The 26,667-nt window shown below is 38.2% G+C and overlaps 1 protein-coding gene across 2 annotated transcripts in view; it reads left to right on the top strand.

Moving 5' to 3' along the window:
- Positions 1-18,249, top strand: part of SHCBP1L (SHC binding and spindle associated 1 like) — a 53,302-nt gene extending 35,053 nt beyond the window's left edge. For both annotated transcript variants that reach the window (NM_030933.4, NM_001345928.2), the window contains 4 exons: positions 12,465-12,618; positions 13,684-13,934; positions 14,953-15,075; positions 17,880-18,249. In NM_030933.4, the coding sequence (NP_112195.2) occupies positions 12,465-12,618; positions 13,684-13,934; positions 14,953-15,075; positions 17,880-18,131 (780 nt within the window). In that variant the 3' untranslated portion in view covers positions 18,132-18,249. The remainder of the gene's footprint in view (positions 1-12,464; positions 12,619-13,683; positions 13,935-14,952; positions 15,076-17,879) is intronic.

Raw genomic sequence — 26,667 nt, 5'->3', positions numbered from 1 at the left:
GTGTGTATATATACATATATATGTGTATATATACATATATATATAGAGAGAGAGAGGAGAGTATATATAGGGTCATGTCATCTGCAAACAGTAAGTTTTACTTCCTCCTTTACAATTTGGATACATTTTATTTCTTTTTGCATAGTTGCTCTGGCTAGGACGTCTGGTTCAATGTTGAACAGCAGTGGCAAAAGTGGGCATCATTGTCTTTTCTGATACTTTGGGGTGTTATTGGCAGAATTGCGTCCCTCCAAAATTCATATATTGAAGTCCTTACCCCAGTACCCTAAAATGTAAGCATATTTGGAGAGCAAGTGTTTAAAGAGATGATTAAATTAAAATGAAGCCATTAGGGTTGGCCCTCCTCCAGTCTGACTGATATCCTTAAAAGAAAGGAAATTTGGACACAGAAAAAGACATCAGGAGTGCATGTGCACAGAAGGATGACCATGTGAAGAGGGAGCAAAACCACAACCACCTGCAAGCTGAGAGAGGCTCAGAAGAAACCAAATCTGTTGACACATTGATCTTGGGCTTCCATCCTCCAGAACTGTAAGAAAATAAATTTCTGGCCGGGTGCAGTGACTCACGCCTGTAATCCTAGCACTCTGGGAGGCCGAGATGGGTGGATCACTTGAAGTCAGGAGTTCAAGATCAGCCTGGCCAACATGATGAAACCCCACCTCTACTAAAAATACAGAAATTAGCTGGGCATAGCTTTTTCTGCATCAATTGAGATTATTGTGTAATTTATTTTTCCCCTTCATTCTATTAATGTGGTGTGTTATGATTGATTTTTGTATATTAAATCACTCTTGAATTCTTGGAATAAATCTCACTTCATCATCATGTATAACCTTTTAAATATGTTGTTGAGTTCAGTTTGCTAGGATTTATTGAGGATTTTTGCATTTATATTCAAAAGGAATATTGCTGTATAGTTTTCTTTTCTTCTGGTATTTTTGTCTAGCTTTGTTATCAGATAATGCTTGCCTGAGAATTAGGAAGTGTTCTCACAGATTTTGGAGGAATTTGGGAAAGATTGGTGTTAATTCTTTTTTTTTAACTTTTATTTTAGGTTTGGGGGTACACGTGAAGATTTGTTACATAGGTAAACTCGTGTCATGGGGGTTTGTTATACATATTATTTCATCACCCAGGTATTAAGACCAGTACCCAATAGTTATCTTTTCTGCTCCTGTCTTTCCTCCCACCCTCTACCTTCAAGTAGACACCAGTGTCTGTTGTTTTCCTCTTTGCATTCATAAGTTATTATTTAGTGTTCATGGTGTTAATTTTTGAAATGTTTGGTAGATTTATCAATGAAGCTATCTGATCTTGGACTTTTCTTTGTTGGGAGATTTTTGCTTACTGATTTTTTAATCTCTTTACTGTTACAGGTCTGTTCAGATTTTATATTTCTTCTAGAGCCAGTTTTGGTAAACTGTGTGTTTCTAGGAATTTGTATACTTAATTTTTGTTGGTATGAAATCAGTGCATTTGTTGGTGTACAATTGTTCATAGGTGTACATATAATGATAGTATAATCATAGAATATCATTATAAATAATTTTTATTTCTTTAAGGTCAGTAGTAATGTATCTACCTTCATATCTGATTTTAGTTGTTTGTGCCTCCTCTTTCTCTTAGTCTAGCTAAACTTTTGTCAATTTTGTTGATCTTTTCAAAAAATTAATTTTTGATTTTGTTTTTATTTTTCCTATTCTCTATTTCATTGAACTCTAATCTGTATCGTTTCCTTTTACTGTTGGCTTTGGGTTTAATTTGCTTTTTCTAGTTTCTTAAGTTGTAAAATTAGATTGCTGATTTGAGATCTTTCTTTTTTAATGTAGGCATTTACTGCTATAAATTTCTCTCTGAGCTCTGTTTTTCCTGCATCCTATAAATTTTGGTATGTTGTGTTTTCATTTTCATTTATCTCAAAGTATCTTCAGATTTTCCTTTTGTTTCATCTTTGAGCCATTTGTTATTTAAGAATATGTTGTCAGGCCGGGCGCAGTGGCTCACGCCTGTAATCCCAGCACTTTGGGAGGCCGAGAGGGGCGGATCACAAGGTCAGGAGATAGAGACCATCCTGGCTAACACGGTGAAACCCCGTCTCCACTAAAAATACAAAAAATTAGCCGGGCGTGATGGCGGGCGCCTGTGGTCCCAGCTACTCGAGAGGCTGAGGCAGGAGAATGGCGTGAACCCGGGAGGTGGAGCTTGCAGTGAGCCGAGATCGCGCCACTGCACTCCAGCCTGGGCGACAGAGTGAGACTCCGTCTCAAAAAAAAAAAAAAAAAAGAATACGTTGTTTAATTTTCACATATGTCTAAATTTTTCAGTTTTCTTTCCATAATTGACTTCTACTTTAATTCCATTGTAGTCAGAGAAGATGTATTTATTGAGACTTGTTTTGTGGCCTAATAGATGGTATATCTTGGAGAATGTTCCATATGCATTCCAGAAGAATGCATATCCTTTTGTGTTGGACTTGGGGGGCAGTGTATATATGTATGTTAGGTCTAGTTAGATTATACTGTTGTTCAAGTCCTCTATTTCCTTATTGTTCTTCTGTCTAGATGTTCTAGTTATTTTTGAAAGTGGTATAGAAATCTTCAACTATTATTATAAAACTATTTCTTACTTCAATTCTGTGAATGTTTTACTTCATACATTTTGAGACCTTGTTGTTTGGTTTGCATATGCTTATTGGTACATCTTCTTGATGAATTAACTCTTTTGTTAATATATAATACCTTTCTTTGTCTCTAGCAACAATTGTGTTATTAAAGTCTATTTTATCTAATGTTAGTGTAGCCACCCCAGCTCTTTTTCAATTACTGTTTGTACAGAATATCTTTTTATTCTTTCACTGTTAACCTACTTGTGTCTTTGAATCTAAAGTGAGATTCTTTTTTTTTTTTTTTTTTTTTTTTTTTTTTTTTTGAGACAGAGTCTGCCTCTGTTGCCCAGAATGGAGTGCAATGGTGCGATCTCAGCTCACTGCAACTTCCGCCTCCCAGGTTCAAGTGATTCTCCTGCCTCAGCCTCCTGAGTAGCTGGGATTATGCACCACCATGCCTGGCTAATTTTTGTATTTTTAGTAAAGATGGGGTTTCACCATGTTGGCCAGGCTGGTCTCAAATTCCTGACCTCATGATCCGCCCACCTCGCCCTCCCAAAGGGTTGGGATTACAGGCATGAGCCACCACACCCGGCCTGAAATGAGATTCTTGTAACATCATATAGTTGGATTATTTTTCTTTATCCTTTCTACCTGTCTTTTTTAATTGGTGATCTTAATCCATTTACATTTAAAATGTTTACTGATAAGGAAGGACTTACTTCTGTCATTGGCTACTGTTTTTCCTACAAGTAATATCTTTTTTTTGTTACGCAGTGCTTTCAGTACCATCTTCTTTTGTGTTTTATGATTTTTTTTTTAGTGTACCATTTTGATTTACTCCACATTTCCTTTTGTATGTATTTTTTAGTTATATTCTTGGTGATTATCAAGGGAATTGTAATTCACATCCTACATTTATAACGATTGAGTTTGAATTGATACCAACTTTGCTTTAATAGCATACAGCTCCATCGTCCCTTTATGTTGTTATTGTTACAAATTACATCTTTATACATTGTTTCCCCATTAGCATGGATTTACAAGGATTGTTTTAGGCATCGGTATCTTAAATTATATAGGAAACAAAAAAAGGAGTCACAAACCAAAAATACAGTAATACTGCCTTTATATTTACCCTTGATTTTACCTTTACTGGAATTTTTTTATTTCTTTATATGGCTTTGAGTTACTTCTGTTGTCTATTTCATTTCAGTCTGAAGGACTCCTTTAGCATTTCTTTTAGGATAGGCCTAACTTTTTTTATCTAGAAATGTCAATTTCTTCTTCATTTTGAAAAGGTATTTTTTCTAGATATAGAATTTTTGGTTGTTTATCTTTCAGCACTTTTAAATCCCACTGCTTTCTGGCTTCCATGGTTTCTGATGAGAAAGCAGCCTTAATCTTATTAAAGATCTCTTATACTTAATGCATTGCTTCTCTCATGCTGCTTGTAAGATTCTCTATTTATCTTTGGATTGTTTTTTATCATTATTATTTTTTGAGATGGAGTTTTGCTCTTGTTGCCCAGGCTGGAGTGCAATGGCATGATCTTGGCTCACTGCAACCTCTGCCTCCCAGGTTCAAGCAATTCTCCTACCTCAGCCTCCCCAGTAGCTGGTATCACAGGCATGTGGCACCACATCTGGTTAATTTTTGTATTTTTAGTAGAGATGGGGTTTCGCCATGTTGGCCAAGCTGGTCTGGAACTCCTGACCTCAGGTGATCAGCTGCCTTGGCCTCACAAAGTGCTGGTATTACAGGTGTGAGCCACTGTGCCCCGCCTATCTTTGGATTTTAATTGTTTGATTATAATATTTGTTAATGTGTGTTTCTTTGTGTTTATCTTACTTAAAGTCCATTACACTTCTTGGATATGTAGATTCATGTCTTTAATGAAATTTGGGATGTTTTCGGCCATTACGTTTTCAAGTATTTTTTCTGCCTTTGTTAGGAAAACACTCAAACCATATTTTCCCTCTGTTTTCACAACAAAACAAGAATTATCAATACAGAAAACTTCTGTGACCCCAAAATATGTGGGGCTTTCTCCCTGCCAGCAAGTAATCAATCAGTTCTCCAGCAGACCCCAACTGGGTGTCCTACAATTCTATTTCAGCATACAGTAGATAGTGTCACATTCTACAGGTTGGAGACTCAGCCTCCAAAACTGCTCCTCTCCCTCAGACACCAGTCACAAGTCTAGGCCTCCAGAACTTCTGACTGACTGACTTCAAGTTGGGGTTCTCACAACTCCTTTTTTGGGTTTAATTAGTTTACTAGAGCAGCTCACAGGACTCAGAGAAACATTTATGTTTACCAGTTAATTTAATTAATTAATTAATTTTTTGAGATGGAGTCTTGCTATGTCACCCAGGCTGGAGTGCAGTGGTGTGATCTCGGCTCACTGTAACCTCCACCTCCTGGGTTCAAGCGATTCTCCTGCCTCAGCCTCCTGAGTAGCTGGGATTACAGGCGCACACCACCACACCCAGCTAATTTTTGTATTTTTAGTAGAGAAGGGGTTTCACCATATTGGTCAGTCTGGTCTTGAACTCCTGACCTTGTGATCCACCCACCTCAGCCTCCCAAAGTGCTAGGATTACAGGCGTGAGCCACAGTGCCTGGCCTATGTTTACCAGTTTATTATAAAGGATATTACAGTCAAGCACAGTGGCTCATGCCTGTAATCCCAGCACTTTGGGAGGCCGAGGCAGGTGGATCACTTGAGGTCAGGAGTTTGAGACCAGCCTGGCCAACATGGCAAAAACCCGTCTCTACTAAAAATACAAAAATTTGCTGGGTGTGGTGGTGCACACCTGTAATCTCAGCTACTTGGGAGGCTGAGGCAGGAGAATCACTTGAACCCAGGAGGCAGAGGTTGCAATGAACCGAGATTGCGCCACTGCACTGCAGCCTGGGTGACAGAGTGAGACTGTGTCTCAAAAAAAAAAAAATTGATATTACAAAGGATACAGATGAAAAGGTGTGTAGGGGAAGGTATCAGGGAAAGTACACAGAGCTCCCATGCCCTCCTCCAGGTATATCATCCTCCAGGAAATGTTATGAGGTCAGCTTTCTGAAGGCTCTCTGAACCTAGTCCTCTTGGGTTTCTTTGGACAACTGTGTTAAAACATGATTGGCCTCAAATTATGGGGTGGAACCCAGTTTATTTATTTATGTTTTGTCTCTTTTTTTCTTTTTTGTGGATAACAGGGTCTTGCTATATTGCCCAGGCAGGTCTCAAACTCCTGGGCTCAAGCTATGCTCCCACCTCTGCCTCCCTAAGAGCTGGGAGTACAGGCGTGAGCCACCGTGCCTGGCGGAATCTGGTTTGGAATGAGGGTCTTATGACCCACAATCAGAAAAGCACAGGAATATTAGAGTCCTGCCCTGGGGCAGGTGAAAGGAGAGCAAGAGAAGGTTAGAGAGATTCTGTTTCATGAGGCCTAAAGCACCCAACATTATAACAAAAAGCTGTAATAAGGACTGTGGAAGTTATGAGTCAGGAGGTGTGAATGAAAACCCATATATACATACAAAGTAACAGCACACCCTTTTCTCTCTTTCCTCTTCTTCTGACACTTCCTAATAAGTATATTTATATGCTTCATAATATCCCACTGGTCCCTTTGATGCTGTTCATTTTTTTCTATAGTTCTTTTCTTTCTGATCTCAGGCTGGATAATTTCTATTGTGCTTTCATCAAGATTGCTGATTATTTTTTCTGCTTGCTCAAATCTGCTGTTGAACCCCTCTAGTGAATTTTTCACTTCAGCTATCACACTTTTCAACTACAGAATTTCTATTTTGTTTATATTTTTATTGATATTCTTTATTTGTTCAGACATTGTTCTCCTGGTTGCTTCTAGTTCTTTATTGTTTCCTTTAGCTCTTTGTGCACACTTAAAACAGTAGAGTTAAAGTCTTTGTCTAGTAAGTCCAAAGTCTTATCTGGGCTTCCTCAGGGATAGTTTCTGTCAATTTATTTTTCCTGTGAATGGGTCATGGTATCTTATTTTTTTTGTATGTCTTGCAATTTTTTTGTTGAAAGCTGGACATTTTAGATATTATAATATGGTAACTCTGGAAATTGGATTCTACTCCTCCCCAGGGTTTGTTTCGGTTGTTTATGACTGCAGCTGTATGTTTGTTTAATGACTTTTCTAAACTAATTTGCAAAGGCTGTATTCCTTTTCTTTGTGGCACTTGAAGTCTTTGTTGTGTTATCTCAGTAGATAGTGAGTGATCTAACAGAGATTTCCTTAAATGGCTCAGCTAAAAAGAAAAAACAAGGCCAGGTGCAGTGGCTTACACCTGTAATCCCAGCACTTCGGGAGGCTGAGGCAGGCAGATCACTTGAGGCCAAGAGTTTGAGACCAGCCTGGCCAACATGGTGAAACCCCACCTCTACTAAAAATACAGAAATTAGCTGGGCATAGTGGTGCACACCTGTAATCCCAGCTAGTTGGGAGGCTGAGGCAGGAGAATCGCTTGAACCCGGGAGGAAGAGGCTGCAGTGAGCCAAGATTGTCCCACTGCACTCCAGCCTGGGTGACAGAGCCTGGATCCATCTCAAAAAAAAACCACAACAACAAAAAAATAGATAAATAACTAGAAAAAAACAAAAACAAAAACTCTCCCAGTGTTTGCAGATTGTCTCTGAGCTGAGGCACTCCTTCAGAGCTAAGCCAGGCTGCCTAAAACTTTGTATTAGCTTTTGCTTCCTGTTTGCACAAGGCCCAAAGAGCAGCCAAAGGTGCAAGCCTAGGTTCTTCTTGGGTATCTTCTGAGCATACGTCTAGCCCTGCAGTGCATGTGCATTTCACTACTGATTTCCTGGTATATGGGAAGCCCTGATTCCTTTCAAGCCCTTATTCCTCCAAAAATCTTTCTCTTCAGCCCCTCGTCTGAGGAATCTTGCTTGTCTCTTTCTGTGTTCTTTGCGCTAGGCATCTATGGGGCAAAGGGAAAGCCACTCCAACCTGAGGGGTGAAAAAAAATATCATCTTTCTTTGCCAGTCTGTCAGAGAACTACCAGATAGGTCAGAATTTACAACCATAGTATTTTGAGAACAAAGCCTATATTGCACCCTACCACCTGGTGGCCTGCTGGCACCAGCAAGCTACACCAGGAATGTGGGCTGCCATTTCCATTGCTGCTGCAGAGCAGGGGATTGGGGGATGGTAGGTGGGTAAGCAAAAAAATGCCACACTTGTTTACTGAATTTTAGCAGCCACTTCATTAAGCATTTCCTTTGTTGCTGTGTTTGATTTAGGTTCTAGAGCTCCCAAAAGTTGATTCCATAGTTTTTGCCAACTTAATGTTTGCTTCAGTGGAAGAGCCATTACTTCACCATTTCTGTGCTGTCATCTCTTCCTTGTGTCTTTAACCTCTCCTCTCTACTCTCTCCTTCCTGAATGCAGTGAGATATGTTCAATTCTGTTCTATTTTAAATAGCAAAACAATATCTACCTTAAACACCACATCTCTGTTTCTTACCTTGCAGAGAAAAACTACTTGAAATATTTATCTGCATTTATTTCCACTTCTTCGTATTTATTCCTCTACTCACTGTGATCCGGCTTCTGTCTGCAGAATATCACTGAAAATGCTGTTGTGGTCACGTAGAATCTCCCTCTGGCCAATTGCAGTAGGTACAACTCAGAGATTACCATCTTGTTAATCTTTGAGCAGCATTTGACACTACCAACTACATTTGTCCCTCAGTATAGACAGAGATTAGTCCACAGACACTTGGCATGTATCCAAATCCGTGTGTACTCAAGTCCTGCTGTCAGCCCTGCAGAACCCATATATACAAAATTCAAAGTCTGCTCTCCATATACTCAGATTTTCATCCTGCAAATACTGTATTTTGATGTGTGTTTGGTTGAAAAAAATCTGTGTATAAGTTGGTCTATGCAGTTCAAACCCATGTTGTTCAAGGGTCAACTGTACTTCCTCCTTCCATGACATCCTAGTCTCCTGATTTTTTTCTACCACCTCTTTGCCTACTTTTCAATATTCTTTGTGAGATCTTGTGTTTCCGCCAGTTTGTTAAATATTCCTCAGTGTTCTGTTCTAGGTTGCTATCTTTCCCTCTTTACGCATTCTTGTAGCTAATTTCATCCATTCCTGTGCTCAAATTATCATATAAGTAAATAATTCTATGACCTTATGTCTAGTCAGGTCCTATATTCTAGACCCTTATATCCATAGTCTGCTGGATACCTCTATCTAGTGACTCCACTGGCACTTCAAATTTATTGGCACCAAAATTAAACTCATCGTCTTCCTCTATCACACTTTTTTCTCTCTCCTGTGTTTCTTATTTCAGTGAATAAAAAAAATATAAATGAGGAGGGTTTCAGAGTTCTTACAAATTATTTATTTACAGAGGTAGTCTTGTGCTATCTGCTTCCAATGTATGTAATACCTGCACAAATGAGTTTGTAGGTTGCTGATTTAGTAAGGTTTATAGGAATTTTACATATATCTGGAAAAAGTGTTCACTCTCACTTATCAAATAAATGGAAATGAAAATGAGGTGAGGAGGACTTTTGTCCGTTAAAATGGCAAATATTGTACAAATTTTTTAAAAATCCCATGTTGTTTTGTTTATGACAAAACGAGCATTCTTAACCCAAGTTTTAATTGATTAAGCTTTTCTGGAGAGGAATTTGGCAAAGTATATCCAAGAGTCTTAAAATGTTTATACCTTTTGATTCAGCAATTTCCTGTCTAGTAATGTTTCCTAAAGAAATAACTAGAGATATACATAAGGATCTGTTATAGTATTTTCATAATGTTGAAAACTCATAAACCATCCAAATAAGAGTGAGAAATTCATAACATGAGTTGTAATATATCTGTTTGATACATTAGTATGTAATTGTTAAAAGTTAGGCTTTGATGTGCTATTCATAATAGCAAAGACAGGGAATCAACCGAGGTGCCCATTGATGGTGGATTGAATAATGTAAATGTGGTACATGTACACCATGGAATACTATGCAGCCATAAAAAGAATGAAATCATGTCCTTTGCAGTGGCGTGGATGCACCTGAAGGCCATTATCCTAAGTGAATTAATGCAGGAACAGAAAACCAAATACTGCATGTTCTCACTTACAAGCAGGAGCTAAACACTAAGCACACATGGACACAAACATGAGAACAATAGACACTGCTAACTACTGGTGCAGGAGGAAGAAGGGAGGGGATGTCTGTTGAAAAACTACCTATCGGGTACTATGCTCAATACCTGGATGCAATAAACGAACATAGTAAACCCTGCACATGCACCCCCATATCTAAAATAAGTTGAAACTTTAATCATTAAAAAAATAGGCTTTGAAAAATTATTTAAAGACATGGGGAAGGTGATATAATGACAAAATCAGAATTCAAAAGTATATACAATATATGGTATGATTGATTGGCATATGAATAAATGAATATATGCATGGGAAATATACTAGAAGGAAATATCTATATAAATGAAGGTTTTCTTTAGTTAAGAATTTACAAGTTAATTTTTCAATTTTTGTTATGCTTTCTTTTCCATGTTTTTATAACAAGTATCACTTTTATAATAAAAAAAGGCTGGGTGCAGTGGCTCACGCCTGTAATCCCAGCACTTTGGGAGACCAAGGCGGGTGGATCACTTGAGGTCAGGAGTTCGAGACCAGCCTGGCCAACATGGTGAAACCCCGTCTCCACTAAAAATACAAAAATTAGCCGGGTGCAGTGGCACACACCTATAGTCCCAGCTACTCGGGAGGCTGAGGCAGGAGAATCACTTGAACCCGGGAGGTTGCAGTGAGCCAAGACTGTGCCACTGCACTCCAGCCTGGGCGACAGAGCAAGACTCCATCTCAAAATAGTAATAATAATAACAATAATAATAATAATAATAAGAATAAGAAAGATATATGCATGATAATGCCATTCTCATTGGGATCAAAGAACGATAGGCATTTTTTCAGAATATATTTCCAAATTTTATATTTGGATTTATTATTTATTTATTTACTTTTTTTTTTTTTTTGAGACAGTTTCGCTCTTGTTGCCCAGGCTGGAGTGCAATGGCACCATCTCCGCTTACTGCAAACTCTGCCTCCCGGGTTCAAGCGATTCTCCTGCCTCCACCTCCCTAGTAGCTGGGATTACAGGCATGTACCACCATGCCTGGCTAATTTTTATATTTTTAGTAGAGACGGGGTTTCACCATGTTGGTCAGGCTGGTCTCGAACTCCTGACCTCAAGTGATCCACCCACCTTGGCCTCCCAAAATGCTGGGATTACAGGTGTGAGTCACTGTGCCCGGCCAGGATTTATATTTTATATTAAAAGTCCTTCACACTGCTGGGCATGATGGCTTCTACCTGTAATCCCAGCACTCTGGGAGGCTGAGGTGGGTGATCACTTGAGCTGAGGAGTTTGAGACCAGCCTGGGCAATATAGAGAAACCCCACCTCTACAAAAAATACAAAAATTACCCAGGCATGGCAATGTGTGCCTCTAGTCCCAGCTACTCAGGAGGCTGAGGTGGGAGGATCACTTGAGCCTGGGAGGTTTAGGCTGCAGTGAGCCATGATCGTGCCACTGCACTCCAGCCTGGGCGAGAGAATGAGACCCTGTCTCAAAATAAATAAATAAAGCCCTCCAGTCTTTACGACACTAATAACAAATTTATCTCCTCTTTTCTACTCCCAATGCATATTTTAGAATCTTTGATAAGTATAATTTTGTTTATCTGGGGGCCGGGCACGGTGGCTCATGCACTTTGGGAGGCCGAGGCAGGTGGACCACCTGAGGTCAGGAGTTCGAGACCAACCTGGCTAACATGGCGAAACCCTGTCTCTACTAAAAATACAAAAGTTAGTTGGGTGTGGTGGCAGACGCCTGTAATCCCAACTACTCGGGAGGCTGAGGTGGGAGAATTGGTTGAACCTGGGAGGCAGAGGTTGCAGTGAGCTGAGATCGTGCCATTGCACACCAACCTGGGTGACAAGAGTGAAATTCGATCTCGGAAAAAAAAAAAAAAGAATTTTGTTCATTTACTAAAACTGGAGGGTCATTTTGAGTTAAAGAAAACAAAATGATACATAGGGAAGAGCATGAGATCTGGTGTCATATTGAACTGCATCTAAAGCTTGGCTTCACTACTAATTTTGACAATTCATTTAATCTTGCCAAGGTTCAATTTCCTTAACCTTATAGCGGGGGTAATAATACTTACGTTGCCGGGCACGGTGGCTTATGCCTGTAATCCCAGCAGTTTGGGAGGTCGAGGTGGGCGGATTGCCTGAGGTCAGGAGTTTAAGAGCAGCCTGGCCAACATGGAGAAACCCCGTCTCTACTAAAAATACAAAAAATTAGCCAGACGTGGTGGTGTGCACCTGTAATCCCAGCTACTCAGGAGGCTGAGGCAAGAGAATCGCTTGAATCCGGGAGGCAGGGGTTGCAGTGAGCCGAGATCGCAGCATTGCCCTCCAGCCTGGGCGACAGAGCGAAACTCCGTCTCAAAATAATAATAATAATACGTCAAGGAACTGTTGCAAGGCTTAAGGAGGTAATATGTAAAGTTCAAAATATGGCACATAGCTAATACCCAGTATTTAATAGTTATAAAATGATGAACGATTGTAAAGAAACATTTTATTTCAATATTAATCGATGAACTGATACTTTGAGCATTTAATAAATGCTAGTCTTTAATAAATGATAAGTCTTTTGGGAAAAGTACTTGTCCAGTAAGTAACTGATTAAAATGACATGTTTCAGTTTAACCTATTATTGAAAGCGCAAGTGTTTTATTTCTTTTTAGATAAAGGATTTATCTTCAGACACACTTCTCCAACAGCATGGTGATTTGGATTTGGCTTTGGATAATTGTTATAGTGGAGATACAGTAATAATTTTTCCAGGAGAATATCAAGCTGCAAATCTTGCTTTGTTGACAGATGACATCATTATAAAGGGTTAGCAGGGCATCCTTTGTAGTTTTTTTTACAGCAATGTATACTGGACAAATTGTGTATTCTAAACATGCTTAATGGAATTATTGGAAATTACAATAGAATTTATGTTTTACAAAAATCCTTTATGTTCATTTTATAATTAAGACATGTTCGTCATATTTTCTATAGCTCCATTTATATTTTTTACCCAAAGCACTTTTTTCTTATCTATCTTTACTGCTTTTCACATCACTTTACTAAGGAAAACCCAGATGTAAAGCTATGTTAAAATATGCTCATCATTTTCTCAAAAAGGCTAATATCACATGCTAACTCACCAAAACAGAAGTAGAAAAGCAGAATTTACTAAATTTATTTTAGGTCCTGAACATATTTAGAAACTTTCTCTCTTTTTGACGTTGAAGTAAGAGTATTCTCATTGTCTAACCAACAACAACAACAACAACAAAAGCTGGATATGGTGCCTCACGCCTGTAATCCCAGCACTTTGGAAGGCTGAGGCAGGTGGATTGCTAGAGTCCTGGAGTTTGAGAGCAGTCTGGGCAACATAGTGAAACCCCATCTCTACAAAAAATTCAAAAGTTAGCTGGATGTGGTGGCACACACCTGTAGTCCCAGTTACTTGGGAGGCTGAGGTGGGACAATCACTTGAGCCCAGGTTGCAGTGAGCCATAATCAAGCCACTGCACTCCAGCCTGGGTGAAAGAGCAAGACTGTCTCAAAAAAAAAGAAAAAGATTACACTATAGTTATGTATGTACTATATATTATTTGTTAAAAATATGTGAAGCTGGGCACTGTGCTATGCACCTGTAGTCCCAACTTACTCAGGAGGTGAGGCAGGAGGATCACTTGAGCCCAGGAGTTCGAGACTAGCCTGGGCAACATAGCGAGAACCATCTCTAAAAATGCGCATGCGCACACACACACACACACACACACACACACACACACACACACACGCACACAGGGAAAAACTTTAGTAACAGCAGTATTGTTGAATGACAATAAAGGGCCTTAAAATGGGAGATTACTGATTTAATGTATTTTTATCCCTATGAATCAGGAGTTGGAAAGAGAGAGGAAATTATGATTACTTCTGAACCTTCTCGTGACAGTTTTGTGGTGTCCAAAGCTGACAATGTGAAACTAATGCATCTATCTTTGATACAACAAGGGACGGTTGATGGTATCGTGGTGGTGGAGTCTGGTCACATGACTCTAGAAAACTGCATATTAAAATGTGAAGGAACAGGAGTGTGTGTTCTTACAGGGGCTGCTTTGACAATTACAGACAGTGAAATAACTGGCGCCCAGGTATTTCATTCTTTAAAAAGTATGGCCTTATATGACTATAGATGACAGCTTTGAGTGATCTTAATATACAAATAAAGGGTAGCAATTTCTTCATCTTTTAGTGGAATTCTAATTAAACTTAGTAACTGGTAGACATCAACAAAATGAGTACTGGAGTGTCATAGTACATTTAGGAAAAATGAAATGCTAGGTCCAAAGTAAAGAATATTTAGCTTTGTTTTATAAGGGTGACTTTTTAAAATCTGGAAAAGAGTGGCTATAACATAAATCATGAGTCAGTCATTTGATAGTTTAAAGAAATAAGACATGTAAGTTATCAGATGTTGCTGTTAGGTGTTGTGATTAGTTCTAACAGCTTCTGAATAATCAGGACATAAAAAACTTGAGGCCAAGCACAGTGGTTCACTCCTGTAATCCCAGCACTTTAGGAGCTGAGACGGGAGGATCACTTGAGCTGAAGTTTGAGACCAGCCTGGGCAACACAGAAAGACCTTGTCTTTAACAATAAATAAATAAATAATTAAAAATTAAGAGCTTGAGTCTTTAGATAACAATCACAAAGATCATTGAAGGACTGGAGAACTGAATGAGAAAAAGAATTAAAGGAAGTAGAAAAATAAGAGCATCTTTTTAAAGAATTTTTAAAATTTCCACTAAAATGAAGAAATATACTTTAGTGGCATTAAGTGGGATTTACAGTAGATATAAATTTTTATAACTATTGAAACAATTGCTTAAAGAGTGGACTCCTTTCTAGAGAATCATTTGGGTGGAAGAGTAAGATAATGGATTATATGACCTCAACCTTCTAAGTCTAATGACTCTCTAACAGATATTTAAATTTTCAATATTTTTAAATATTATCTTTACAATTAACAGTTGCATGCATGATCACGTATTTGCACGTAACTCAATGTTTATAGTGGTAATACAGAATTACGATTTTCAAGTCTAAAGATTTTGGAGAGAGGTTTGTGTATATATTTTGTAGATAGTTTTATTTGCTTTTAATTTACAGGGTGCTGGTGTTGAACTGTATCCTGGAAGCATAGCTATTTTGGAAAGAAATGAAATTCATCACTGTAATAACCTCAGAACCAGTAACAGTTCAAAAAGCACCTTAGGTGGAGTTAATATGAAGGTATTCTCTTATTTCTTGATGTAGCATTGTTATAAGAATTGTAAGTAATTATAAGTACTAAAATATTAGTTTTAGTCTTAAAAGGCAGTCTACATATTATCATTGATTTGGAAAAGAATAGTACAAGTAATAAAATATGGTTAAATGATAGCTGCTGGGAAATAAGTTTAGCCTTATAATTTAATAATTTGTACTTAAACTCTTTGCAAATAACCTTGAATATGAGAAATGGGATAGATTTTTCTCTTAAAGACATTTTAGAGTTTTCTTTGATCAGATCTGTAATACATTTTGGTATTTCAAATTACAAAGTAAAGCAAATTAAGAATAATAATATATTAAGAAGCATTTGAAGTCTTACTTTCAAAGTTGTGTTAAATGATTTAAGCTAACCAATTAAAACATTAATAGCAATAATTTCTAGGTGAAATGTCTTCCATCCTTTCTGCTTCTATAAATCTTGTCTTTCTAAGTCCCTCTCTAGGCTTGTGTAGTTAATGAACTTTTATGTTAGTGAAGTTTTTTCTAGAACATTCTAACTCTTTGTTTTATGAATGTACATTTTGTCTCCTCAAATAGATTACAAATTATCTAAGGGAAGGAATTGTATTATATATTACTAGTAGCCTCCCACTCTCTGTATGATTCTGGACACTAAGTCAGATAATTGGTTGAAAATAAGGTACAAGGCCAGGCACAGTGGCTCACACCTGTAATCCTAGCACTTTGGGAGGCCGAGGTGAGCAGATCACGAGGTCAAGAGATTGAGACCATCCTGGCTAACATGGTGAAACCCCATCTCTACTAAAAATACAAAAAAAATTAGCCAACCGTGGTGGCATATGCCTGTAGTCCCAGCTATTCAGTAGGCTGAGGCAGGAGAATCACTTGAACTCGAGAGGTGGACGTTGCAGTGCACCACTGCACTCCAGCCTGGGTGACAGATTGAGACTCTGTCTCAAAAAAAAAAAAAAAAAGAAAAAAAAAGAAAGAAAAAAGAAAAGAAGGTACAAATGGTAAATAGCAGTTTTAAAATCTTTGATTTATCTTTAAACATTTTTTCTGTTCTTAAATATTTTTCAGTTTTTCAGTGGTCCTTGAATGTTAGCATGCATCAGAATCATTCTTGCAGAGGCCCACTCTGCTTTCTGATTCAGTAGGCCTAGGGTAAAGCCTGAGAATTTGTTTTAGTAATTTCCTAGGTGATGCTGATACTGCTGGTTTAACTCACACTTTAAGAATCATATTCCTGATACTCAAAGTGTGAGCCATGGACCAGCAGCATTGGCATCACCTGGTAGTTTGTTAGAAGTGGAGAATTTTGAGCCTCACGCCAGACCTATTAAACAAAATGTGGTCTTTAACAAGCTCCCCAGATGATATATACATACGTTAAAATTTGATAAACATGGTTTATAAAATCTGACAAGATCTGGCCCCTGCTTTCTCCAACGTAATCTCCTTCCAATCTTCCTCTTATACATTATATTCGAGCCACACTGGCTTTGTTTGTGTTCCCAGAAATTATTAACCTTGTTCTGGCTGTTACCTTCACCTGAAGCACTCTTTTTTTTCTTTTTTGAGATGGAGTTTTGCTCTTGTTGCCCAGGCTGGAGTGTAATGGCGCGATCTCAGCTCACCGCAATGTCTGCATCCCAGGTTCAAGCGATTTTCCTGCCTCAGCCTTCTAGGTAGCTGGGATTACAGGCATGCGCCACCACGCCCAGCTAATTTTGTATTTTTAGTAGAGACGGGGTTTCTCCATGTTGGTCAGGCTGGTCTCGAACTACTGACCTCAGGTGATCCGCCCGCCTCTGCCTCCCAAAGTGCTGGGATTACAGGTGTGAGCCACCACGCCTGACCTGAAACACTCTTTCTATAGATCTTATTACTATCTGAATGTGGTTGTCCCTCTTCAAAGAAGCCTTTAATGTAAAGAACACTCAAGTGGTAACCTCTCCCCACCCAGTCATGCTATCACATTACCTTATTTTCTCCAAATCACATATTATTTGAAATTACTTATTTTCATGTTTATTATGTTATAAGAGATCAGCTTCATGGGTTGTATTGCCATACAGAATTAGTTGTTTTTATCAATAACTGATAAAAGTAAATTGAAAACTTCATTAAATATTTTCTTACACTTTTTTTTTCTTTTTCTTTTTGTGGAGAATAGGGTCTTGCTATATTGCCCAGGCAGGTCTCGAACTCCTGGGCTCAAGCTATCCTTCTGCCTCTGCCTTCTTAAGAGCTGGGATTACAGGGCATGAGCCACCGCACCTGGCTCATTTAATATTTTGTTATTGGCTGGGCATGGTGGCTCACGCGTGTAATTCCAGCGCTTTGGGAAGCCAAGGCGGGTGGATCACGAGGTCAGGAGCTCGAGACCAGCCTGGCCAAAATATTGAAACCCCGTCTCTACTAAAAATACAAAAATTAGCCAGGTGTGGTGGCACGCGCCTTGTAGTCCCAGCTACTTGAGTGGCTGAGGCAGGAGAATCACTTGAACCGGGAGGCGGAGGTTGCAGTGAGCCAAGACTGTGTCATTGCACTCCAGCCTGGGCAACAAAGCAAGACTCCATCTCAAAAAAAAAAATTCTTATTAAATATTTTTTGTAGTTAATATTACGTTAGTTGGTGTCATGAAAACAGTACTTAACACTTGTTCAAAATTGAGAGTCTTGGTTGTTTTAAAAAATCTGTTAATCCAAGAATAAAGTCTAAGCTAATTTTTATATGTTCATTACTTCATTTTTTAAATAAAATCATTGAAAAACTAATTTCCTCAAATAATTTAATAGGTTCTTCCAGCACCCAAATTGAAGATGACTAATAATCATATTTATAGCAACAAAGGCTATGGAGTAAGCATTCTTCAACCAATGGAACAGTTTTTTATCGTAGCAGAAGAAGCTCTCAACAAAAGGGCTTCTTCAGGAGATAAAAAAGATGATAAAATGCTCTTCAAAGTAATGCAAAATCTGAATCTGGAAATGAATAATAATAAGATAGAAGCAAACGTCAAGGGGGATATCAGAATAGTCACAAGTTAAAGCGTCTGAATTGATGTTAAAGTTTTATATTTCACAAATTTGTTTAATACATGATTCTCATACCCCACTGAAATGGTAGTTTCAATTCAAAGCTTAATTAAAAAATATTTAAATATCATGCTTTCACTGAATGATTCATTTTACATATTTTTAAAATAACAGCTTTATTAAGATATAATTCACATGCCATAAAATTCACACATTACAAAGTGTACAATTCAATGATATTAGTATATTTTTAGTATATAGTACAGTCATCACTATTTAATCCAGAAACAAATATGGTTTTAAATATTGTTTTCTAATACTCCTCCAATAAAAAGCATTAGGTGTTCCATATAGACAAGAGACAAAATTTAATTTATCGCTAATTCACAGTAACCAGAATAAGATAATATGTCATATATTAAGATAGGTTCTTTAAGCTCATTCTTATACATTTTAGAAGAAAAAAGTGAAAAAAAGAAAAAAATAGGATAGATTCAACAGCAAGAAACAAGGAAATCCAAAATAAGAGAGGTAAACAATACAGAAATGTATTTCTCCCTCATAGTCAATAGTTGCAGAGAATAGGGCTAATAGATGTTCCTTGTGGGAACTCAGCGTAGGGCTGGTAGGTAGGTATGTAGGTAGGTAGGTGTTTTGCGTTGTCAGAAATTCAGGTTTCTTCTATATTGTTTCACGATTGTAAGATTTCCATGAAAAATCACTATACGATCCAAGACAGCAATTGGTAATCAAGCTTTCATGCCTGGTTTTCAGCCAAGCAGAAGGGAAAGAACCTTTCTTCAAAGTTGCACACATTATTTTGACTTTCATGCTTCTACCTAGAATGTTATTATGTGGCTACGCTTAGCTGCAAATGAGAAATATAATCTTTACATTGGATGGTCATGTGGCCTCTAAAATAGAGAGTTGATTTTCTAAGAAACAACGAATGGTCTTTTCCCAAAGCAGAGCTTATGTTGACTTAAGAATATAAAAAGAAATTTAAGCATTCAGGCTTAAATACTTAAACTTTTGACTTTTACTTCATGTTATGTGTAACCTAACAAAGGTTACGCTGAATTGCCATAAACAATCTCTTGAGGCTGAGAGTTGATTTTTTTTTTTTTTTTTTGGGGAGATGGAGTTTGGCTCTATCGCTCAGCCTGGAGTGCAGTGGCGCGACCTCAGCTCACTGCAAGCTCCGCCTCCCGGGTTCACGCCATTCTCCTGCCTCTGCCTCCCGAGTAGTTGGGACTACAGGCGCCTGCCACCACGCCCGGCTAATTGTTTTTTTTTTTTTTTTTTTTTTTTTTTTTTTTTTTGTATTTTTAGTAGAGACTGAGTTTCACCGTGTTAGCCAGGATGGTCTCGATCTCCTGACCTCGTGATCCGCCAGTCTCGGCCTCCCAAAGTGCTGGGATTACAGGTGTGAGCCACAGCGCCCGGCCCAACAGCACTTTTTTAAAAGAAGAAAACCTATAGGCAGTTCCATAGATTTTGATTATACATAGTCTGTGTACACAAAGACTTGTTAAAATAATTCCAGGATTGTCCTTGGGGGCCTTAACAAGAAACATCTTTCTATAATGAACGTAGTGAGTATTAAGGGTGGGGATTTTCCTTTTCCATCCTCTTCCCCTACCTTTCTCAGTTTTTGGCTTCAGAAAGAATAGGTAATGGGCAAAGTAATATCTTTGAAGGTATACAATAAAAGCAGTAGCCTTGTGTAAACAAACTTCTTACTCTGGCCATCTACCTCCCTTCTGTTGCTGCCACTGGTTTCTAACCTATTTGTCTTTTCCCAGGCCAACTACAGAATATGGTGATGCTGTTTTTTCGTTTCATGATTCTAAAACGTGCATAAAGCATTTTTAAGATTTTCTAAGAATTTTGATATTTCATAAAATTAATTTTTTTCCTCTTCTACCTTTCCACCCCTACTTTTCCCCCTATACCTTATAAATGAAAGACTGAATTTATATATTGTATATATTGTGTTAGTTTTCCATTGCAGTCATAATAAGTCACCACAAACTTAGTGGCTTAACACAGATTTATAATCTTACAGTTCTGTAGGTCAAAAATCTGACATGGGTCTCACTGGGCCAAAATCAAAGTGTTGACAGGCCTGCATTCCTTTTTGGATGCTCTAGGGAAGGATCTGTTTCCTTGTTCATTTGGATGTTGACAGAATTCAGTTCCTTGTAGTTGTAGGATTCAGTTCCCTGTTTCCTTGACGGTTGACAGCTGAGTTTCTGGTGGCCGATTGCATTCCTTGGCTCATGGCCTCCATCCATTTTCAAAGCCAGCAACAGTGGATCAAGTGTCTCTCCTCTGAGTCTCTTGTCTATTCTTTTGTCTCATCTCCCTGACTCCTTCTTCTACCTCCCTCTTCCACTTTTAAGGACTCATATGATTAGATTGACCCTGCCTGGATGATCCAGGGTAATCTCACATCTCAAGATTCTTAACTTTATATATATAATTATATATATATGATTCTTAACTTTTAAAATATATATTTTATATGTTAAAAGTTAATAATCATATATAAGAACTATGTATGATTATATACTAGATAATATAATCTATAAACTATATAGTTAAATATATAAATAATATATAGTGTAATATATATACTTATTCTTAAATATTTAAATATGTATATATTCTTATATATTATATATATTTAAATACATATATTTAAAAAAATAAGATTCTTGGCCTGGCGTGGTGGCTCACGCCTGTAATCCCAGCACTTTTGGAGGCTGAGGTGGGCAGATCACCAGGTCAAGAGATCGAGACCATCCTGGCCAACATGGTGAAACCCTGTCTCTATTAAAAATACAAAAATTAGCTGGGTATGGTTGCGTGTGCCTATAATCCCAGCTACTTGGGAGGCTGAGGCAGGAGAATTGCTTGAACCTGGGAGAGATGGAGATTGCAGTGAGCCGAGATGGCGCCATTGCACTCCAGCCTGGTGACAGAGTGAGACTCTATCTCAAAAAAAAAAAAAAAAACTTGAGATGTGAGATTATTTATTATATAATAGATATATATTATAATGTACATATAATGTATTATATTAACACAAAAATGTAAAACTAAAATAATGTATTTATTGGTTATTTTTTACATGTTAGCATGAAAAATGTTTTACAGTTATGCCTGTTAAGATGAGAAACATTTAACATTTGATTATATAGCCAACTGCTTTGTTACCTTTATCTTAAATTTATTTCTAGGTATGAAAGAAATATGGAATTTCAAAGTTTGAAAATTCCTAAAAGTGCTTCCATTTAAGATAAATCCTAGGATGACCAATTCATCCCAGTTTGCCCAGGATTTTCCCAGTTTTAGCACTTCTTCTGTCTTAGGAAAACAGATAGTCCTGGGCCAATTGAGGCATTTGGCAACTCTAGTCAGTTCCCAGGAAGTAAAGATTCTTTTTACATCTTTTTTCTATGTCTTAAAATTTATTTTTTTAATCTTTAGTTTTGTGTATACATAGTGGTGTATATAGTTATGAGGTACATGAGATAATTTGATACAGGCATGCAATGAGTAATAACCACACACAATAAATGGGGCACCCATCACCTCAAGCATTTATTCTTTCTTTTTGTTACAAACAATACAATTATACACTTTTAGTTATCTTTTTTAAAAATTTTATTTCAATCGTTTTTGGGGAGCAGGTGGTGTTTGGTTACATGAATAAGTTCTTTAGTTGTGGTTTCTGAGATTTTGGTGCACCCAACACCTGAGCAGTGTACATTGTATCCAATGTGTAGTCTTTTATCCCTCACTCCCTCTTACCCTTTTCCCAAGTCCCCAAAGTCCACTATATCACTCTTATGCCTTTGCGTCCTCATAGCTTAGCTCCCACTTATAAGTGAGAACATACAATATTTGGTTTTTCCATCCCTGAGTTACTTTACATAGAATAATGTTCTCCAATTCCACCCAGGTTGCTGCAAATGCAATTATTTCATTCCTTTTTATGGCTGAGTAGTATTCCATAGTATGTATATACTACATTTTCTTTATCCACTTGGTTGATGGGCATTTAGGCTGGTCCTGTATTTCTGTAGTTGTGAATTGTGCTGCAATAAACATACGTGTGCAAGTGTCTTTTACATATAATGATTTATTTTCCTCTGGGGAACTACCCAGTAGTGGGATTGCTAGATCAAATGGTAGATCTACTTTTAGTTAAAGAATCTCTATACTGTTTTCCATAGTAGTTGTACTAGTTTACATTCCCACCAGCAGTGTAAAAGTGTTCCCTTTTCACCACATCCATACAAATATCCATTGTTCTTTTGATTTTTAAATTATGGCCATTTATGTAGGAGTAAGGTGGTATCTCACTGTGGTCTTAATTTGCATTTCCCTGATAATTAGTGATGTTGAGCATTTTTCATATGTTTCTTGGCCATTTGTATATCTTTTTAATTTTAAAATTTTTATTATTTTATTATTTTTAATTTTTGAGATGGAGTCTCACTCTATTGCCCAGGCTGGAGTGCAGTGGTGCGATCTCGGCTCACTGCAACCTCCGCCTCCCATGTTCAAGCCATTCTCCTGCCTCAGTCCCCCGAGTAGCTGGGATAATAGGTGCGCAACAACCACACCTAGCTAGGTTTTGTATTTTTAGTAGAGATGGGGTTTCACCATGTTGGCCAGGCTGGTCTTGAACTCCTGACCTCAGGCGATCCACCCACCTCACCCTCCCAAAGTGCTGGGATTACAGGCATGAGCCACTGTACCTGGCCTGTATAACTTCTTTTGAGAATTGTCTATTCATGTCCTTAGCCCACTTTTTGATTTTTTTTCTTGCTGATTTGAGTTCTGGATATTAGACCTTTGTTGGATGCATAGTTTGCAAATATTTTCTCCCACTCTGTGGACTGTCTGTTTACTAAGCTGATTATTTCTTCTGCTGTGCAGAAGTTTTTTAGTTTAATTAGGTCCCATCTATTTTTGTTTTTGTTGCATTTGTTTTTGGGTTCTTGGTCATGAACTCTTTGCCTAAGCCAATATCTAGAAGAGTTTTTCCGATGTTATCTTTTAGAATTTTTATGGTCTCAGGTCTTAGATTTAAGTCTTTGATCCATCTTGAGTTGATTTTTATATAAGGTGAGAGATGAGGATCCAGTTTCATTCTTCTACCTGTGGCTTGCCAATTATCTCAGCACCATTTGTTGAATGCAGTATCCTTTCCCCACTTTATGTTTTTGTTTGCTTTGTCAAAGATCAGTTGGCTGTAAATATTTGGCTTTATTTCTGGGTATTCTGTTCCATTGGTCTACATGCCTTTTTTTTATACCAGTACCATGCTGTTTTGGTAACTATAGCCTTGTAGTATAGTTTGAGTCAGCTAATATGATGCCTCTAGATTTGTTCTTTCCACTTAGTCTTGCTTTGGCTGTGCCGGCCTTTTTTGGGTCCATATGAATTTTAGGATTGTTTTTTCTAGTTCTGTGAAGAATGATGATAGTATTTTGATGGGAATTGCACTAAATCTATAGATTGCTTTTGGCAGTATGGTCATTTTCACAATATTAATTCTACCCATCCATGAGCATGGGATATGTTTCCATTTGTTTCTGTCATCGATGATTTCTTTCAGCAGTGTTTGGTAGTCTTCCTTGAAGAGATCTTTCACCTCCTTGGTTAGGTATATTCCTAAGTATTTTATTTTTGCAGCTGTTGCAAAAGTGATTGAGTTCTTGATTTGAGTCTCAGCTGAGTTGTTGTTGGTTTATAGCAGTGCTACTGATTTGCGTACATTGATTTTCTATCTTGAAACTTTACTGAGTTCATTTTTCAGATCTAGGAGCTTTTAGGATGAGTCTTACTGCATACCTAGGGTTTTCTAGGTATGCAATCACATCACTGACAGTGACAGTTTGACTTCCTCTCTACCGACTCTGATGCCCTTTCTCTTGTCTGATGCTCTGGCTAGGAAACTTTTAGTTTTCTTTAAATGTACAGTAAATTATTGTTGCCTGTAGTTGCCCTGTTGTGCTACCAAATTCTAAATCTTATTCATTCAATCTAACAATATTTGTGTACCCATTAACCATCCCCACTTTCCTACCACCACCACTACCCTTGCCAGCCTTTGGTAACCATTACTTTATCTCCATGAGTTCAACTGTTTTAATTTCTCTATTCTGTTCCATGAGTCTATGTACCTGTTTTCATGCAAGTAATGTTACAGTGGGTAGCTAGTTGGGTATGAGTGGGGCAGAAGAGAGCTCCGCCCCTTCCCCCACCCCCCACAATACACCAGGAGTGTCAGGCAACCATCAGGTGATGGTCAGGTGGTCAACTGTCTCTCTAAACTAATAACTGGTCACAGCCAGTGCCAAGGAAAGGCAGTCTCTCCTAATAAATAGAAAACACCTGAAACTGGTGATCAGCAGCTTCCTGATAAGAGCTCAGGAGTTTGGCAACTGGGGAGAAGTAACATAAAACCCCAGAAGTATGCCAGTGTATAAAACCCCAAGTCAAAAGGTCAAGCCACGCACTTGCGTCTTGAGTCACCTACTTGGCCCTCTTCCAAGTGTACTTTCCTTCCTTTTATTCCTGTTATAAAACTTTTATTTATTTATTTATTTTTTGGGAGATGGAGTCTCACTCTGTCACCCAGGCTGGAGTGCAATGGCATGATCTTGGCTGTCTGCAACCTCTGCCTCCTGGGTTCAAGCGATTCTCCTGCCTCAGCCTCCTGAGTAGCTGGGACTACAAGTGACCTCCACCACGTCTGGCTAATTTTTGTATTTTTTTTTTTTTTTTTTTGAGACGGAGTTTTGCTCGTTGCCCAGGCTGGAGTGCAATGACGCGATCTCAGCTCACTGCAACCTCTGCCTCCCGGGTTCAAGCGATTCTCCTGCCTTAGCTTTTCTGAGTAGCTGCGATTACGGGCGTGCACCACCACGCCCGGCTAATTTTGTATTTTTAGTAGAGACGGAGTTTCTCCATGCTGGTCAGGCTGGTCTCGAACTCCCGACCTCAGGTGATCTGCCCACCTCGGCCTCTTAGTGTTGGGATTACAGGCATGAGCCACCACACCTGGCCTTAATTGTTGTATTTTTAGTAGAGATGGGGTTTCATCATGTTGGCCAGGCTGGTCTCAAATTCCTGACCTCAGGTGATCCACCTGCCTGAGCCTCCTAAAGTGTTGGGATTACAGGCGTGAGCCACTGGGCCTGGCCCTTGTTATAAGACTTCTTAATAAAACTTTCACTCTTGCTCTAAAACTTGCCTCAGTCTCTCCTTCTGCCTTATGCCCCTCAAATTCTTTCCTCTGAGGAGGCAAACAGTACCATGTTGTTTTGGTTCCTATAGTTCTACAGTATAATCTGAAGTCAGGTAATGTGATTTCTCCAGTTTTGTTCTTTATGCTCAGGATGACTTTGGCTATTCTGGGTCTTTTGTGGTTCCATTTAAATTTTAGAATTATTTTTGCTATTTCTGTGAAGAATGTCATTGGTATTTTGATAGAGAATGCATTGAATCTGTAGATTGCTTTGGGTAGTATGGCCATTTTAACAATATCGATTCTTGCAGTCAAAGAACAGGAATATTTTTCCATTTTTTGGTGTCCTCTTCAATTTCTTGCATCAGTGTTTTATAGTTTTTATTGTAGAGATCATTCATGTCTTCAGTGAAGTTTATTCTTAGATATTTTATTTTATTTGTAGCTATTATAAATTGACTTACTTTCTTGATTTCTTTTTCAGATTGTTTGTTGCTGGCATAGAAATGCTATTGATTTTTGTATGTCTGTTTGTATCCTGCAACTTTACCAAATTTATCAGTTCCAGTAGTTTTTCTGCTGGAGTCTTGAGGTTTTTCCAAATATAAGATCATATCATCTGCAAACAAGGATAATTTGACTTTTTCCTTTCCAATTTGGTTGCCCTTTATTTCTTTCTCTTGTCTCATTGCTCTAGCTAGGACTTCCAGTTATGTTGAATAACAACGGTGAAAGTGGCATCCTTGTCTTGTTCTAGATCTTAGAGGAAAGTCCTTTCCCATTCAGTATGATACTAGCTGTGGGTCTGTCATATGTGGATTTTATTGTATTGAGGTATGTCCTTCTATACCCAGTTTTTTGAGGGTTTTATTTAAATCATGAAGGGATGGTTGTTTTTTTTTTTAATTATACTTTAAGTTCTAGGGTACATTTGCACAACGTGCAGGTTTGTTACATATGTATACATGTGCCATGTTGGTGTGCTGAACCCACTAACTAGTCATTTACATTAGGTATATCTCCTAATGCTATCCCTCCCCCCTCCCCCCACCCCACGGGATGGTTGAATTTTAACAAATGCTTTTTCAGCATTAATGGAAATTATCATGTTTTTTGTCCTTCATCCCGTTGATATGATTTATCACATTGGTTGATTTGCATATGTTGAACCATTCTTCAGCTGAAGGAAGGAGTCCTTCTAGAAGCCACAAGCTGTGCTTTCTGTTTTGGGGGAGGGGTGACGTAAACACTCCATTGGCTGCCCCAGCTGGCGTCTCA

This window comes from Homo sapiens, chromosome 1, assembly GCF_000001405.40.
Source record: "Homo sapiens chromosome 1, GRCh38.p14 Primary Assembly".
NCBI classification, from domain to species: Eukaryota; Metazoa; Chordata; class Mammalia; order Primates; family Hominidae; genus Homo; species Homo sapiens.
Note: the sequence above shows the minus strand (reverse complement) of the source record. Positions and strands in the feature narration are given on the sequence as shown.